This window comes from Homo sapiens, chromosome 3, assembly GCF_000001405.40.
Source record: "Homo sapiens chromosome 3, GRCh38.p14 Primary Assembly".
NCBI classification, from domain to species: Eukaryota; Metazoa; Chordata; class Mammalia; order Primates; family Hominidae; genus Homo; species Homo sapiens.
This window is the reverse complement of record NC_000003.12, coordinates 12,724,991-12,742,040: the sequence shown is the minus strand read 5'-3', so window position 1 is coordinate 12,742,040 and position 17,050 is coordinate 12,724,991. Positions and strand designations below refer to the sequence as shown.

The window sequence follows — 17,050 nt, the reverse complement described above, 5'->3', positions numbered from 1 at the left end:
CCAGGATGGTCTCGGTCTCCTGACCTCCTGATCCGCCCGCCTCGGCCTCCCAAAGTGCTGGGATTACAGGCGTGAGCCACCGCGCCCGGCCAATTTTTTGTATTTTTTAGTAGAGACAGAGTTTTGCCATGTTGCCCAGGCTGGTCTCGAACTACTGAGCTCAAGTGATCCTCCGGCCTTGGCCTCCCAAAGTGCCAGAATTACAGGCGTGAGCCACTGCACCTGGTCCTTCTTTCTTTCTTTCTTTCCTTCTTTCTTTTTTTTTTTTTTTTTGTTACAAAAACAAGTATAATCTGGTTTAGAAAAATGCGTTTAATTACTCAAGTAATTTAAGAAAGGTTTCACTGGGTATAAAATAAGATAAACCTTTATGTTTATGTGTATTTTAAAATATTTTTCTCATTAAGTAATTCATATTCACTGTAGAAAATGTAGATACATTCACTTATTCATGAATTACTTCCTTCCCCCAGACATTGGAGGTGCTTGGTAAATTACATTGCTTGAGTTCTCATTTCATGTTGTCCTTGGTATGCTCTCTGCACTCTCTGTATTGGCCCCTCTGGTCACTTTGCATATAGTGTTCAGTGTGCTGAGTGCCTGTTGTCACATGCTAAGTGCCTCTTGTGGTGTTTGTGTCCTGGGGCTGCCCTGAGGGACAGGAAACTACAGAAGTCGGGGCCTGATGATTGGAAGATCATACAAGTGCCTGTCTGCCCTTGAGGGGAAGAAGATGACAGGCTAGGAGCAAGGTCACCAGGGAACTAGAACAGGCACCAAGAACCACATGGTGAATGGTATGGGAAGGACGCCCAGGACTGGAATAATGCAGAGGTGGCAGCTCAGGTCTGTAGGGCTCAACTCACCCTCAGCAGCCCAGACAAGTGGCTCAACAATCATGGTGGGAGCCAAGGATCGAGGTGTACAAGCCAGCTTGGCTCCCACATGCTCAGAGCCTGGTAGGTCTAGAAGCCAGCAAGATGGCATGAGCTTGGAGTTGCCTGTCTAGTCCAGAGTTCTATGGGTAAAAGGCAGCAGGTGTCATCACATGCATCTGGATAGCCTGGAGCAGGCATGTGCAAATGGGTGGCCCATGTGGGCAGATGCTTTTTATCTGGCTCACAGAATGGTTTTTTGGGGGGCAGGGGAGGGGGAGGTTTGTTTTTCATTTTTTGTTTTTTTTGGGATGCTGTCTCACTCTGTTGCTCAGGCTTGAGTGCAGTGGTACCATCTCGGCTCACTGCAACCTCCACCTCCTGGGCTCAAGCGATTCTCCTACCTTAGCCTCCTGAGAAGCTGGGACTACATGTATGCGACACCATGCCCAGCTAATTTTTGTATTTTTGGTAGAGACAGGGTTTTACCCTGTGGCCCAAGCTGGTCTTGAACTCCTGGACTCAAGTGATCTACCCACCTCGGCCTTCCAAAGTGCTGGGATTACAAGAGTGAAGCATCGCACCTGGCCCACACAGAAAGCTTTTTTTTTTTTTTTTTGGTATTTTTAGTAGAGATGGGGTTTCACCGTGTTAGCCAGGATGGTCTCGATCTCCTGAACTCGTGATCCACCCGCCTCGGCCTCCCAAAGTGCTGGGATTAGAGGCGTGAGCCACCACACCTGGCCCAGAATGCTTTTTTAAAATTATGATTGTGTGGCCAGGCGCTGTGGCTCATGCCTGTAATCCCAGCACTTTGGGAGGCTGAGGCAGGTGGATCACTTGAGGTTGGGAGTTCAAGACCAGCCTGGCCAACGTGGCAAAACCCTGTCTCTACTAAAAATACAAAAATTAGCCAGGTGTGGTGGCACCCGTAATCCCAGCTACTCAGGAGCCTGAGGCAGGAGAATTGCTTGAACCCGGGAGGCAGAGGTTGCAGTGAGCTGAGATCATGCCGCTGCACTCCAGCCTGGGTGGCACAGTGAGACTCTGTCTCAAAATAAATAAATAAATAAATAAATATTATAAATATATAATATTTATAATTTGTGTTATATAATATATAAGTATATTATATATAAATTTATATATATTATATATGTAAAATTATGATTGTGAGAGCCAGACATGGTGGCTCACACCTGTAATCCCAGCTACTTGGGAGGCTGAGGCAGGAAGATTGCTTGAGCCCAAGAGTTTGAGACTGCAGTGAGTCATGATTGCGCCATTGCCCTGCAACCTGGATGACAGAGAGAGAACCTGTCTCTAAATAAATAAATTTTAAAAATAAAATTATGAATGTGAATATATTTCATCAATTCTATACCACATTTTTTTCACATTTGAATATTTCTGAAATCAGGATGCATCTTAAAAATCACTGGCAAAGTTAGGCATAGTAGTTCATGACTATAATCCCAGCACTTTGGGAGGCCAAGGTGGGAGGATTGCTTGAGCCCAGGAGTTCAAGACCAGCCTGGGCAACATAATAAGACCCTGTCTCTATTAAAAAAAAATCACTGGCAGCCAGGCATGGTGGCTCATGCCTGTAATCCCAGCACTTTGGGAGGCTGAGGTGGGTGGATCACGAGGTCAGGAGATCGAGACCATCCTGGCTAACATGGTGAAACCCCGTCTCTACTAAAAATACAAAAAATTAGCCAGGCGTGGTGGCGGGCGCCTGTAGTCCCAGCTACTCGTGAGGCTGAGGCAGGAGAATGGCATGAACCCGGGAGGCGGAGCTTGCAGTGAGCCGAGATTGCACCACTGCACTCCATCCTGGGCAACAGAGCAAGACTCTGTCTCAAAAAAATATATATATATATCACTGGCAACTTACAATTGTAAATGTCAAGGGCTTTTCTTACATAGTAGTACATAAAATAATGTCATGTCTCACAAGCAATGGCATTTTGATTCATGGAGTACAAGAGTTACCAAACTTTTTTTTTTGTTTGAGATGGAGTATCGCTCTGTCGCCAGGCCGGAGTGCAGTGGTGTGATCTTGGCTCACTGCAGCCTCTGTCTCCTGGGTTTGAGCGATTATCCTGTCTCAGCCTCCCGAGTAGCTGGGACTACAGGTGTGTGCTACCATGCCCAGCTAATTTTTGTATTTTTAGTAGAGACGGGGTTTCACCATCTTAGCCAGAATGGTCTCAGTCTCTTGACCTCGTGATCCGCCCACCTTGGCCTCCCAAAGTGCTGGTATTACAGGCATGAGCCACCGCGTGCGGCCCAAACTTTTTCATAATTGGGAAGTTTACCTGAAAACCTGGCTTCTCTGGGGAAATTGACAGACCTGTAAGAGTGGGTAGGCGTTCCTACAGCAGCTTTCTGTGGCTGGTGGGTGGTGGCTGCCCCTTTAGTTGGAACAGGAACCCTCCAGCCGGCTCCATTCCCCACCTGGCCGACTCCAGATTAAGTGGGAAGTCTCCGAGCAGGATCCACCTTCCCTGAAGCATGACTTCTCCCCCCCCAGAGGATCATGGGTATATGATCACTGATTTCCTTTCTGTGCAGATGCTCCTGGAGAGGTGGTACCCTCTGGGGAATCAGGTGAGTGTCCAGTTAGAGGAGAGAGGTCGTTGGTGCTGGTATTGAGCCAGGTCTAGGCATCACCTCTCCCCCAAGAGAGCCAGCACCTGTTGGGATACCTGGCTCTGAGAAACAGGAGCCCCAGGTCCACTTAGCCTAGGCTCATCAAGCAGGCTGGGCCAGCTGTGGCATGAAGCAGGGAGCCTGGGGAGCTTGGAAGGCTGTCCCAGCAAGACCCCAGGAGATTACAACCAACCAGCCATCAATAGAGAGAAGGATACCGTGGGGGCTGCAGAATTCCATGGGGACATTTTTTTAGGTCACCTATAGCCTTCCCCAGGGTGGAGGCACCTGTTAAGGACCCCAAGCGGGGTTGGGCACTAATGTTGAGTTTCTTGTTTCCAGGACTCCGAAGGAGAGGCTCTGACCCAGCAAGTGGTAAATACACAAGCTCAAATAGGAGAGCCAGAGCGGGTGTGGATTCCAGACGATGGGTTGGGTCCTCAGACAGCCTGAGAGGGTGGGTTAGTCCCAGCAGGGATGCTGTCGCCAGCCAGTGTCACTATGATTCAGAAGGGGGATCTCCAGTGCAGGGGAAATGGAAAGGAAGGCAGACTCGGGCCTAAGGAAGGAGGAGGAAGTCAGTGGGGGTTCCAAGGACAGTACCCCCATCTTCACAGTTTGACTGGTCCTGCAGTGAGTGCCCTCTGACCCAGGAAGATATACCCAGGATATTAATTCTCAATGAGGCAGGGAAAAGAAAATCCCACCTCCCGTCCTGCATCAAAGTTAAATATTCATCTCTCTCTTGTTCTTAAGGAGAAGTGGAGGCCTCTCAGTTAAGAAGACTGAATATAAAGAAAGATGGTAAGGAACTTGGTGTAGCAGAGCTGCTTTTTCCTGTCTGGCTAGATTTCTAGGGGTGAAATGCAGCTGGTGGCCTAGCACAGCAGTAATCATAGCCCACCTCTGTCGTGTGCCCTGCAGTTTACACATTACTCAGCTCAGAATCACCTCAACAGGGTGGGACAATGGTTCCCATTTTGCAGATATGAAAACTGAGGTTCAAGGTTGGGGAGTGGCCTTACAGCTTGTGAGTGGAGTGGCCTGAGCTTGAGCCCTGGTCCTCTGCTCTTTCTGCTATGCACAGTCACTAGGATGGTAAATACCTTCCAGGTCTTGTGGCCAGGATGGGGAACTGGAGGGTCAGCTGAGCTGAGAAAGTTGTAAGGTTAGATTAGACCAGAATCGGAAAGGAGCAGTGAAAATGGGAGCAACTTCCCTGCTCCAGGCCTGGAATCCATGGGGACTTCTAGGAGGAAGGGGAGGGCAAGAGGAAAGACCATGGTGCTCCACACAGAGATTTTTTGTAATTAAAAAAAAAAAAAAAAAGAGGCCAGGCATGGTGGCTCACAGCTGTAATCCCAATACTTTGGGAGGCCGAGATGAGAGGATTGCTTGAAGCCAGGAGTTCGAGACCAGCCTGGGCAACATAGCGAGACCTTATCTCTACTAAAAATTTTAAAAATTTGCTGGGTGTGGTGGCATGCACTTGTAGGCCTTGCTGCTTGTGAGGCTAAAGCAGGAGAATTGCTTAAGCCCAGGACTTCAAGGCTGCAATGAGCTGGGATCGCACAACTGCACTCCACCCTGGGTGACAGAGCAAGACCTTGTCTCCTCTGCCCAAAAAAAGAGAGAGAAAGCAGCAGATAGTGATTGCCCACCCCTGCCTTCACAGATGAGTTTTTCCATTTCGTCCTCCTGTGCTTTGCCATCGGGGCCTTGCTGGTGTGTTATCACTATTACGCAGGTGAGGGGAGGTGCCCTGGGGAATGCACAAGGGGGATGGCATGGGGTGGTGCAGGGGGCAGGGGCGTCAAGACCTGGAGGCTGACCATTCCCTCCCTCACTGCCCTTCCAGACTGGTTCATGTCTCTTGGGGTCGGCCTGCTCACCTTCGCCTCCCTGGAAACCGTTGGCATCTACTTCGGACTAGGTAAGCCCCTCCCCCAGCATGGACACACACACAGTCTCTTGGAGGGGTCGTGGGTAGAAATATTCATTTTCATACTCATTCAAGTATGGACCAGAGAGTCACAATCTACACTTTTAAAAAAATTTTCTGGCCAGGCGCGGTGGCTTACGCCTGTAATCCCAGCACTTTGGGAGGCTGAGGTGTGTGGATCACCTGAGGTTAGGAGTTTGAGACCAGCTTGACCAACATGGTGAAACTCTGTCTCTACTAAAAATACAAAAAATTAGCCAGGCCTGGTGGCGCATGTCTGTAATCTCAGCTACTCGGGAGGCTGAGACAGGAGAAGTGCTTGAACCCAGGAGGCGGAGGTTGCAGTGAGCCAAGCTTGTGCCACTGCACTCCAGCCTGGGCAACAGAGCGAGACTCTGTCTCAAAAAAAAAAAAAAAAATTTCCTTATGCTCATGTTTTCTTCCTCACCACTTTCAAGGTCAATGTAAGGTCACTGGCAAAACCCTGTGGGAAAAACAGGCAGCTCCATACAATGCAACAGCAACAGTTTAAAGTGCCAAAGAGGCCGGGCCCAGGGCACACGCCTGTAATTCCAGTTACTCAGGAGATTGGGGCAAGAGGATTGCTTGAGCCCAGGAATTCGTTCAGCCTGGGCAACATAGCAAGACTCTGTCTATAAAATAAATAAATAAAAGTGGCAAACAAAATAGAACTAGCCAGATACTGAAAACAAGTTAGTTAATGGAGTTGGGAACTGAATTTGGTGAGTGAGTTTCCTGCCACTACTTCTGCTGTTCGTGGTTGTTGTTTTTAGTAATAATAACTCTAGTACCATTATCTAAGCTTAACCTGCTGCCTGAAGTTCCACCATCAGAGCTTTGTTTGCATGAGTTAGGCCCTTGTCCAGTGGTGGCCTGGTGTCCCTTGTTGGGGCACAAACTTAACTTACTTTTTTCTTTGCTTCTGAGCAGTGTACCGTATCCACAGCGTCCTCCAAGGCTTCATCCCCCTCTTCCAGAAGTTTAGGCTGACAGGTAACTTTTAAAGTCTTCCTGTGTTCACTCATTTTCTCCCTAGCAGGGTCTTCATTTAGAAAGAGGCTTAGCATACAGGAAAGAACACAGCCTGGAGGCAGAGGACCCAGGTTTGAGTCCTACCTCTGCCAGTTTACTAGCTCTGTGACCCTGGATGAGCCGTGTAGCCTCGGTTTCCTCAACTGGAAAATAGGTGTAATACTTTTCTGCTGCACAAGTGTGTTGTGAAGATCAAGTGAGGAATGGATGCAAAGGCCTGAAGTGTGAAACAGTAGAAAAATGGTCTGGTTAGTCTTCATTCTCTTATAGAACTTTACACTTCCCCAAACGCTGTCTTCTCCATGGCTGTACTTGCCTAATAGCAACTGGGGAGGTAGGCTTTAGCAATGTTACACTTGACCAATAGGAAAATGAGGCTCAGAGAGGTGGAGTGACTCGCCCACAGTCACACAGCTTTAGTGGCTGGGCTGGGCGAAAGCACATCGTCTTTCTTGACTAACAGCTCTGTGACCACCTTATGCCTCAGAATGGAGAGGCCAAGTGGCTGTGTGGCTGTGCTGGGGAAATATCTGTCTCCTTTAATCCATGTAATGAAGAAAAAGAAAACTAGCTATTATGACTGTGGTTCATTGAGACCCATGGCTTCTGGGGTGACTACATCATGCCAGCTGTGAGGGGTACTTGGGCATCTGAGGTGATGGTGGGGATGAAGCCTGGCTGCCTTCAGAATCCCATGCCATCCTGTGGTCTTTGCCTTCCAGGGTTCAGGAAGACTGACTGAGGCCACTTCCAGGTGGGCAGCAGAGGCAGGCCCCAGTGTGACCACCACTGCGACCCCTGAGCCCACAAGGGCAGAGCAGCATTCTGAGAGACGCACAGGAGACCAAGCCAGACCAATAAACAGAACACTTTTCCTTCCATGTGGTCTGAATGTTGGCACCAGCCCGGGCAGGGGCATCTCATTTGGGCAGTACTGCTGTGCAACCCAGCTGCAAGGATGGAAGGCAGAGGGTGGGTGTGGGGCCTGAGGCTTCACAGTACCTGGACCAGCAGGAAGATTCTGGGAGGTCACTGCTCTCAGAGGACAGCAAGGGACCCTGAGCTCTGCAAGCTGTGATCTGTCTGGGTTCATGGTTTTTCTCAAATCCCAGGCTATCTGCATGCGCTCTCAGGTGCTACCGAGCCATCCTGGGAGAGATGGATGGTCCACTGCTTTGAGGCAGGGAGCCATCGGGCTGGGGCCCCTTGGTGAACCTGATGCAGGTAAGATGCTGAGGACTAAAACCATTTTTTTTGCACCCAAAAAAAAAGGCAGGAAAATGATCATCAGAAACTAAATGGCAGCCAGGCATGGGGGCTCACAACTGTAATCCTCGCACTTTGGGAGGCTCAGGCTAAGGGTCGCTTGAAGCTGAGAGTTCAAGACCAACCTGGGCAACATAGTGAGACCCCCATCTCTACAATTTTTTTTTAATGACCAAATGTGGCGGTACATACCTGTACATACCTGCGGTTCCAGCTACTCAAGAGGCTGAGGCAGGAGGACTGCTTGAGCCCAGGAGTTCAGGGCTGCAGTGAGGTACGATCAAGCCACTGCACTCCAGCCTGGGCGACAGAGCAAGATCGTTTCTCTAAAATTAAAAAAAAAAAAAAAAGACAAATAAAAATTGCATGTATTTGTAGTGTACAACATGTTTTGAAATATGTGGAATGGCTAAATCAAGCTAATTAACATATGTATCCCTCACATACCCTTTTTTTATGATGAGAACAGTAAAAACCTACTGTCAGCAATTTGCAAAGTATACAATACATTGTTATTAACTATGGTCACCATGCTATGTGATTGATATCCTGAACTTGAACTGAGTTCTTGATGGTCACAGACATGCTGTTCTCAAAACTCAGAAGGGTAACTTCTGAGGTTTTGATTTCAAGTACTTGTATGTAACCTAATTTAACGGGAGCCCAGAGTGCACAGATCAGATATTTATTAAACATATAAATAAAACACAGTTTTCACGATAGAAGTATGAACTTACTGACTTGGGAACAATGTGGTTAGCCTCATTTTATAGGAATGATGGGTCCCTGTGGCCAGCTCTGCCACTGCCTGGCTGTGATTTTATTTTCTTTCTTTCTTTCTTTCTTTCTTTTTCTTGAGACAGAGTTTTGCTCTTTTGCCCAGCCTGGAGTGAAGTGGTGTGATCTCAGCTCACTGCAACCTCCACCCACCATATTCAAGTGATTCTCCTGCCTCAGCCTCCTGAGTAGCTAGGATTATAGGCACCTGCCACCACACCTGGCTAATTTTTGTATTTTTGGTAGAGATGGGTTTTCACCATATTGGCCAGGCTGGTCTCAAACTCCTGACCTCAGGTGATCCACCTGCCTCGACCTCCCAAAGTGCTAGGATTACAGGCGTGAGCCACCAATGCTGGCCCTGGCTGTGATTTTGGTCAAGTCCTCCCCTCTCCCAGCCTTAATGTTCTCATCTGTACAATGGGGAGCATAACAGTGCCCACCTCACGGTATTATGTTGAGAACTGCATGAGATAATTACATAAAGTCTTATGCACAGACTCTGGCACATAGGTGATGCTCAATCAATGGGCGTTATTACATTAGACAGGAGCACAAATCAGATCCCCTTAGGGTCAGGCATACAGAGTCAGCAAGATGTAGAAAAGTGGGGGCTGGGTGCAGTGGCTCACACCTATAATCCCAATACTTTGGGAGGCCAAGGTGGGTGGATTGCTTGAGATCAGGAGTGTAGTAGCGTGTACCTGTGGACCTAGCTACTTGGGAGGCTGGAGTGGGAGAATCGCTGGAGCCCAGGAAGTCAAGGCTGCAGTGAGCCATGATCATACCACTGCACCCCAGCCTGGGTGACAGAGCGAGACCCGGTATCAAAAAAATAAAAATAAAAATGAAAAAAGTAGGGAGCAGGAAGAGGGGAACAGAAGAGCATATACCTGACCAAAGGGGGCAGCTGCTGTCTAGCAATTCCAGGTGAGAACACCAGCTAAGTGGGATCTGTCAGCCAAGCGAACGAAAACCACACCAGGTGCTTTAACAGAAAGAATTTAATAGAGGGACATGTTAACCAGGTGCAGGACTACTAGAAACGCAGAAAGGGACCATAGTATCACAAAGTGTAACTGAGGGAACTGCCTAGGGCTAGAGAGAAAAAGGAAAGAGGTTGTAGCTATTAGAAGTGAGAGGCCGGGGCCAGGTGTGGTGGCTCACACATGTAATCCCAGCACTTTGAGAGGCCGAGATGGGCGGATCACAAGGTCAGGAGATCAAGACCATCCTGGCTAACATGATGAAACCCCATCTCTACTAAAAATACAAAAAATTAGCCCGGCGTGGTGGCGGGTGCCTGTAGTCCCAGCTACTTGGGAAGCTGAGGCAGGAGAATGTCATGAACCCGGGAGGCAGAGCTTGCAGTGAGCTGAGATCGCACCACTGCACTCCAGCCTGGGAGACAAAGCAAGACTCTGTCTCAAAAAAAAAAAAGAAGTGAGAGGCTGGGTGCGGTGGCTCAGTCTATAATCCCAACACTTTGGGAGGCCAAGGTGGGCAGATCACCTGAGGTCAGGAGTTCGAGACCAGCCTGGCCAACATGGTGAAACCCTATCTCTACTAAAAATGCAAAAATTAGCCAGGCTTGGTGGCGGGCACCTGTAATCCCAGCTACTTGGGAGGCTGATGCAGGAGAATCACTTGAACCTGGGAGGTAGAGGCTGCAGTGAGCCGAGATCATGCCACTACACTCCAGCCTGGGCAACAGAGCAAGACTCCGTCTCAGTAAATAAATAAATAAATAAATAGCCGAGCGCAGTGGCTCATGCCTGTAATCCCAGCAGCACTTTGGGAGGCCGAGGCGGGTGGATCACGAGGTCAGGAGATGGAGACCATCCCGGCTAACACGGTGAAACCCTGTCTCTACTAAAAATACAAAAAATTAGCCGGGCGTGGTGGCGGGCACCTGTGGTCCCAGCTACTCGGGAGGCTGAGGCAGGAGAATGGCATGAACCTGGGAGGCAGAGCTTGCAGTGAGCCGAGATAGCGCCACTACACTCCAGCCTGGGCGACAGAGCAAGACTCTGTCTCAATAAATAAATAAATAAATAAATAAATAAATAAATAAATAAATAAAGTGTGAGAAGATTGAGAGAGGGTCCTCCAGAGCTGGGACCCAGACCTCTGGGGAAAGGGCACTGCTTAGCTGGGGAGGTGTCTCTGAGGGGCCTGAGGAGGCTGGTTCTGCAAGTGCAAGACCATTGGGGTCAGACCTCCAGTTTCTTAGCAGAAGCCCCAAATCTAGAGTTTGGCAACTATTTTTTTTTTTTTTTAAATTTCCACTTCTGCTATGGAAAAGAGTATAGTGATTCCTCAAAGAACTAAAAATAGAATTACCATATGATCCAGCAGTTCTACTTCTGCACATATGCCCAAAGGGGACTTGAAGGGATCTCTGTACACACATTTTCAAAGCAGCATTATTTCCAGTAGCCAGAAAGGGGAAGCACAAGCGTCCATCAATGGGCGAATGAATAAACAAAGCATGGTATATTATCAGTTTTTAAAAAAGGAAATTATTTGAGACTTCACAAAAAAATAAAAACCAAAGGGGGAAAATATGGAAATTCTAGCCAGGCATACTGGCTCATGCCAGTAATGTCAGCACTTTGGGAGGCTGAGGTAGGAGGATCACTTGACCCCAGGAGTTCAAGACCAGGCTGGGCAACACGGCAAAACCCCATCTCTGCAAAACATAAAAACATTAGCCAAGCGTGGTGGCACATGCCTGTGGTCCCAGCTACTTAGGTGACTAAGGTGGGAGGATCACTTGAGCCCAGGAAGTGGAGGCTGCAGTGAACCATGATCATGCCACTGCACTCCAGCCTGGGTGGCTGAGTAAGACTCTGTCTCTAAGAAAAAAATAAAAATAAAAAAAAAGAAATTGTGACACATGCTACCACACAGATAAACCTTGAGAACATTATGTTAAAAGGACAAATACAGTTATGATTCCATATATATGAGGTACCTAGAGTAATCAGATTCATAGAGACAGAAAGTGGAATGGTGGGTGCCAGAGGCTGCGGGACGGGGAATGAGAGTTAGTGTTTAATGGGGACAGAGTGTCAGTTTGGGAAGATGAAAACAGCCCTAGATATGGATGGTTGTGATAATTGCACAACACTGTGAAAGTATTTAACGCCACTGAACTGTACACTTAAAAATGGTTATGGTGGTTAATTTTATGTCTATTTTACCACTTTTTTTTTTTTTTGAGACAGAGTTTTGCTCTGTCGCCCAGGCTGTAGTGCAATGGCCCCATCTCGGCTCACTGCAACCTCCGCCTCGCAGGTTCAAGCGATTCTCCTGCCTCAGCTTCCTGGGTAGCTGGGACTACAGGCACGTGCCACCATGCCTGGCTAATTTTTTGCAGTTTTAGTAGAGATGGGGTTTCACCCTGTTAGCCAGGATGGTCTCGATCTCCTGACCTCGTGATCCACCCGCCTCAGCCTCCCAAAGTGCTGGGATTACAGGCGTGAGCCACCATGCCCGGCCACTTTTTTTTTTTTTTGAGATGGAGTCTCACTCTGTTGCCCAGGCTGGAGTGCAGTGGCACGATTGCAACCTCTGCCTCCCAGACTTGAGGGATTCTCCTGCCTCAGCCTCCCAAGTAGCTGGGACTACAGGCACCTGCCACCATACCTGGAATTTTTTTTTTTTTTTTTTTTTTTTTTTAGTAGAGACAGGATTTCACCATATTGACCAGGCTAATCTTGAAGTCTTGACCTCAAGTGATCCGCCCACCTTGGCCTCTCAAAGTGCTGGGATTATAGGCGTGAGCCACTGCACCCAGACCACTTTTTTAAAAAAAAAAAAATTCAAATTATCAGTGGTTAAATAAAACTGGATCAGGCCTGCGGCCCACAAGCTTACAGCTGCTTTGTGGAAGGCTTTTTATCATGTCAAGCTAAAGGCGGGAGCTAAAAGTGGTGCACGCAGGGGTCTGGTTACACCTCAGGCATCAAGTGCATTCCTGGAGCCCCAGTCCAACGTGTGGGCTAAAAATAAAGCATTGAATCTTGAGCCCAGGAAGGCAGCGTTGAAAAGTGGAGGGGTGAGGAGGAGGTTATGTGGAAGGGGATGGGCTTTGGTCTTTGGCTGTCCTGGATGCTGTGTGCTAGATTTCTGCTTTGATCACAGTGGAGGGAGGGTGAGAGTACAGATTTCAAAACCATACAAGCCAGCTTGTGCCGGGAAGATTTTTTTTAATTCAATTTCAACTTCTGCTATGGAAAACAGTATAGTGATTCCTCAAAGAACTAAAAATAGAATTACCACGTGATCCAGCAGTTCTACTTCTGCACATATGCCCAAAGGGGACTTGAAGGGATATCTGTACACCCATTTTCAAAGCAGAATTATTTCCAGTAGCCAAAAAGGGGAAGCACAAGTGTCCATCAATGGGTGAATGAATAAACAAAGCATGGTATATTATCAGCTTTTAAACTAATACTTCTGCACATACGCTTCTGCGCATATGCCCAAAAGGGACTTGAAGGGACATCTGTCCCTTCAAGAGAAGTCCGAGAGGACTGTGGCGGTTGTTTATCCTGTTCTCCCGACACAGCCCCTGGAATCTTCTGTCTACTCTAGAGGATCTGGGCCTGTACCAGAGATGGAGCGAAGGGACGCTGCTGACTAAACCTAGGAAGCTGAGGGAAGCACTTAACACTGGAGCTGGGAGATGTAGGGAAGGGCTATCCAGGCAGAGGTCACAGCATGGGCAAAGGCGTGGAGGAATAAAAGAGGATAGCACGGCCGGGCGCGGTGGCTCACGCCTGTAATCCCAGCACTTTGGGAGGCCAAGGCGGGTGGATCACTGAGGTCAGGAGTTCAAGACCAGCCTGGCCAACATGGTGAAACCCTGTCTCAACTAAAAATAGACAAAAATTAGCTGGACGTGGTGGTGGACGCCTGTAATCCCAGCTACTTCGGGAGGCTGAGGCAGGAGAATCACTTGCACCCGGGAGGCAGAGGTTGCAGTGTGCCAAGATGGCATCACTGCACTCCAGCCTGGGCAACAAGAGCGAAACTCTGTCAAAAAAAAAAAAAAAAAAAGAGGATAGCACGTCTCAGAGCAACAAGGGGTCAGCCCAGTGTAGTTGAGGCATCCAAGATCTGAGTAGGGCCGAGGACAGGTGGGCAACAGAGCACAGAGGTTAATTGCTCCCCTCCCCCAGCAGGACCTTGATACCTGAGATAAAGAGCTGAGACACTAGCCTAAGGACCATAAGGACAACAGGGAGCCTTGGAGGGAGTTCGAGCAGAAAAATGGCATAGTGAGACTGCACTTCAGAAAGATCACTGCACTCCTCTGGTAGCCCTGTGGGGGCTGTGGAGGGATGAGAATGAGCCTCACAGGCCTCCAACTCTAGGGATCCTAATTGACCAAGCACTGCTGTACTCTGTTTGCAGCAAGGACACAGTTCCCTTGAGATGCCCCCACCTGATGACTTTGCCAAGAGTGGGATGCTAAGGCAGGCCCATTCCTAGGAGACATGGGATTTCTCTGAGCTGACTTTGGCTTAAGGACTCCCCGACACCCTGCCAAACCCTCCTTAGACTGCATGGCCAACTAGGACCCTTCTACCCAACCCTCTTTCCCTCTCTTCCTCACCTGGGGCTGGACTTACATCCCAACCCTCCCAGCTCCCTCCCCGTTTCCCTGCTACACGTGTTTTCTTTAATAAAATCCTAGCACAATTTAATCTTATCCTGGTATTTGCTTCTTGGAGGACTCAGACTAATGGGGTGAGATTAGAGGCAGGGGGGACCGGTGGCCACAGGAAAAGATAGGAAGGGTAAACTTGAAGACATTCCAAAGGTCTAATCCACAGTATGACTTGAGGTGTGTGCTCACCATCAGCCCCCTGGGCTTTCCCAGTGGCTGGAGTTCCTAACACTCAGCAGAGTAATTGCCTATTTCTTTTTTTTGAGCCAACTTTCATTCTTGTCTCCCAGGCTGGAGTGCAATGGCACAATCTCGGCTTACTGCAACCTCCGCCTCCCAGGTTCAAGCGATTCTTCTGCCTCAGCCTCCTGAGTAGCTGAGATTACAGGCACATGCCACCACACCCAGCTAATTTTTTTGTATTTTTAGTAGAGACAGGATTTCACCATGTTGGCCAGGCTGGTTTCAAACTCCCGGCCTCAAGTGATCTGCCCGCCTCAGCCTCCCAAAGTGCTGGGATTACAGGCATAAGCCACCACGCCCAGCTAATTTTTGTGTATTTTTAGTAGAGATGGGGTTTCACCATGTTGGCCAGGCCAAAGATCGTGCCACTGCACTCCAGCCTGGGCGACAGAGCAAGACTCTGTCAAAAAAAAAAAAAAAAAAAAAAAATTAAAAGAATTGAAAATAGGGACTCAAAGAGGTACTTGTACACCAATGTTCATAGCATCAGTGTTTATGATAGCCAAAAAGTGGAAACAACCGAAGTGTCCATCAACAGATGAATGGGTAAACAAAATGTGGCCTATCCATTGTATGCAATATGATTTAGCCATAAAAGGGAATAAAATCCTGATTTCTGCTACACCATGGATAGACCTTGAAAACATAATGCTAAGTGAAATAAGCCAGACACGCACACACAATATTGTATGATTCCACTTATGAACACCTAGAATAGGCAAATTCATAGAGACAGAAAGAAGATACCAGGAGCTGAGGGAAGGGTGAGATAGAGAGTTATGCTTAACATGTACAGAGTGTTTTGTTTGCAGTGATTAAAAAGTTCTGGAGATGAATAATGGTGATGATTTCAAGACCTCGTGAATGTACTTATTGTTGCTAAATTGCACACTTAAAAATGGTTATAATTTTACATTTTGCATATTATATCCCAATTTTTTAAAAGGTAAAAATAAATAAAACCTGTACCCAGTGAGTTTTGGGAGGGTTGACCCCACCACTAGCCCAAAGGATGGGTCTTGACTGGCATTTTGCCAATCAGCCTATTCTAGTCATTGATTCATGAGCACAAGACAGAAGCACTAGCTGTCCGCCAGAGTCTATTCTTCCTTCTCCCATTTTTGGGTGTCTTTGGCACAGCAGCATAGTCTGTAAACCAACTAATTCAGGCTCAGAACTGAACAGAACCAACAGGTCATCAAATAGCTAGTCTCCAAAGATGAAGCCACCAATCTCCACTCACCTTGGGTGCATGTGTTGCCCCTGCCATCAAGTGGCAGTCAGCTTCCTCTCCCCTTCAATCTCAGATGGAATGGTGACTTGCCTTGACCAACGGACTATAGCACAAGTGACATGCGACTGTCCCAGGCGGGCCTTTAAGAGGCCTGACAGCTCCTGCCTCTCCTCTTTTTTCTTCTCTTCCCCAGTGTCCTGCTTCTTCTTTCCCCTTTCCCCACCTTTGTTCCCCACCTTTTCCTCCACTTTTTGCCACTGTCCTCTCTTCTTTCCTTTTTCCCCACCTTCCTCCCCATTTTTCCCCACTGCTCCCCTTCTTTCCCCCTTTCCACTTTTCCCCTTTCCCCACCCACCCCTTCCCCAACTTTTCCACATTCCACTGTCCCTGTTCTTCTGTCCCCTTTCCCCACTGTCCCTCTTCTTCTTTCTCCACCCTTGCTCTTCAACCGCACAGCTGCGCTCAGACCCCATTGAAGAATCATGAAAAACAGCAAATTGCTGTGTTTTAAGCCACTAAGCTTTGCAATGGTTTATTACACTGCAATAGATCATTGAAACGGAGACTTTTGCTGGGGCTTCTAAGAGAAGCAACTACTTCTCTGTTGCATTTCATGATGCAAGGCTGTGAACTTTGGCATCATGGCCACCATCTTGCTCTATATAGGGGCCAGTCTGAGAATGAGTCTACAGGAAGTGGAGTAGAACCCAGAGAAGCTGAGAAACCAAGCCCTGATGACAATGTTACCTTCTGGATCAAGCTGCCCATGAAGTTAACCCTATTTTATGAAGCAAGAAACTTCCCTCTTTCTTTCACCCAATTTGAGTTGGAATTTCTGTTCCTTACAGCCTAAGAAGCTTGTCATACAGCAATGACAGTATGTTCTTTTCTAAATGTGGATGGGAAAGCAGGTTTGTGTGTAGATTAGTTAGGAATAGACCTTTCAGCTTTATGACAAAGAGATACAAAAATACAGTGGCTTAAATAAATTAGGACTTTGTTTTTCTTCCAGTAGCATTCCAGAGTTGAGCAGTCCAGACTGGTGGGATAACTCTGCTCCACATAGTCACTCAGGGACCCATCTGTGGCTCAGTTGTGTCTTAGAGGGTTATCTTAGTCTGTAGGATCAAAGCTAAGTGGTCACTCTGTCTGCGTTCCGGTCTATGGGCAGGGAGATGAGAGGACATAGAAGATAAGAAAATTCTTTTTAAGCAAGGACACAGAAATTGTGTACATCATTTTAATTCCCATTCTACCATAAGAACTTAGTCACTAACCACCCTTAACCGCAAAGGAGGCTGGGAAATGTAGTCTCTAGTGGAGTG

General features: G+C 47.8%; 1 protein-coding gene across 5 annotated transcripts in view, besides 3 other annotated features; it reads left to right on the top strand.

Moving 5' to 3' along the window:
* The window catches only part of TMEM40 (transmembrane protein 40), a 35,930-nt gene extending 27,417 nt beyond the window's left edge, over positions 1-8,513 (top strand). For all 5 annotated transcript variants that reach the window (NM_001284406.2, NM_001284408.2, NM_001284407.2 and 2 more), the window contains 7 exons: positions 3,453-3,488; positions 3,873-3,905; positions 4,287-4,334; positions 5,206-5,277; positions 5,389-5,463; positions 6,424-6,486; positions 7,248-8,513. In NM_001284406.2, coding sequence (NP_001271335.1) covers positions 3,453-3,488; positions 3,873-3,905; positions 4,287-4,334; positions 5,206-5,277; positions 5,389-5,463; positions 6,424-6,486; positions 7,248-7,267 — 347 coding nt within the window. In that variant the 3' untranslated portion in view covers positions 7,268-8,513. The remainder of the gene's footprint in view (positions 1-3,452; positions 3,489-3,872; positions 3,906-4,286; positions 4,335-5,205; positions 5,278-5,388; positions 5,464-6,423; positions 6,487-7,247) is intronic.
* Positions 514-573: a silencer, noted in NCBI's record as "silent region_14067". NCBI's record gives its function as "represses an Ori minimal core promoter by ATAC-STARR-seq in GM12878 lymphoblastoid cells {active_cell/tissue: GM12878}" and the evidence as "EXISTENCE:reporter gene assay evidence [ECO:0000049][PMID:35858748]".
* Positions 834-933: an enhancer, noted in NCBI's record as "active region_19451". NCBI's record gives its function as "activates an Ori minimal core promoter by ATAC-STARR-seq in GM12878 lymphoblastoid cells {active_cell/tissue: GM12878}" and the evidence as "EXISTENCE:reporter gene assay evidence [ECO:0000049][PMID:35858748]".
* Positions 2,971-3,793: an enhancer, noted in NCBI's record as "H3K27ac-H3K4me1 hESC enhancer chr3:12779747-12780569 (GRCh37/hg19 assembly coordinates)". NCBI's record gives its function as "activates a minimal SCP1, AML or CMV promoter by ChIP-STARR-seq in naive H9 embryonic stem cells {active_cell/tissue: H9 hESC(naive)}" and the evidence as "EXISTENCE:reporter gene assay evidence [ECO:0000049][PMID:30033119]".
* Positions 8,514-17,050: the final 8,537 nt, after the last annotated feature.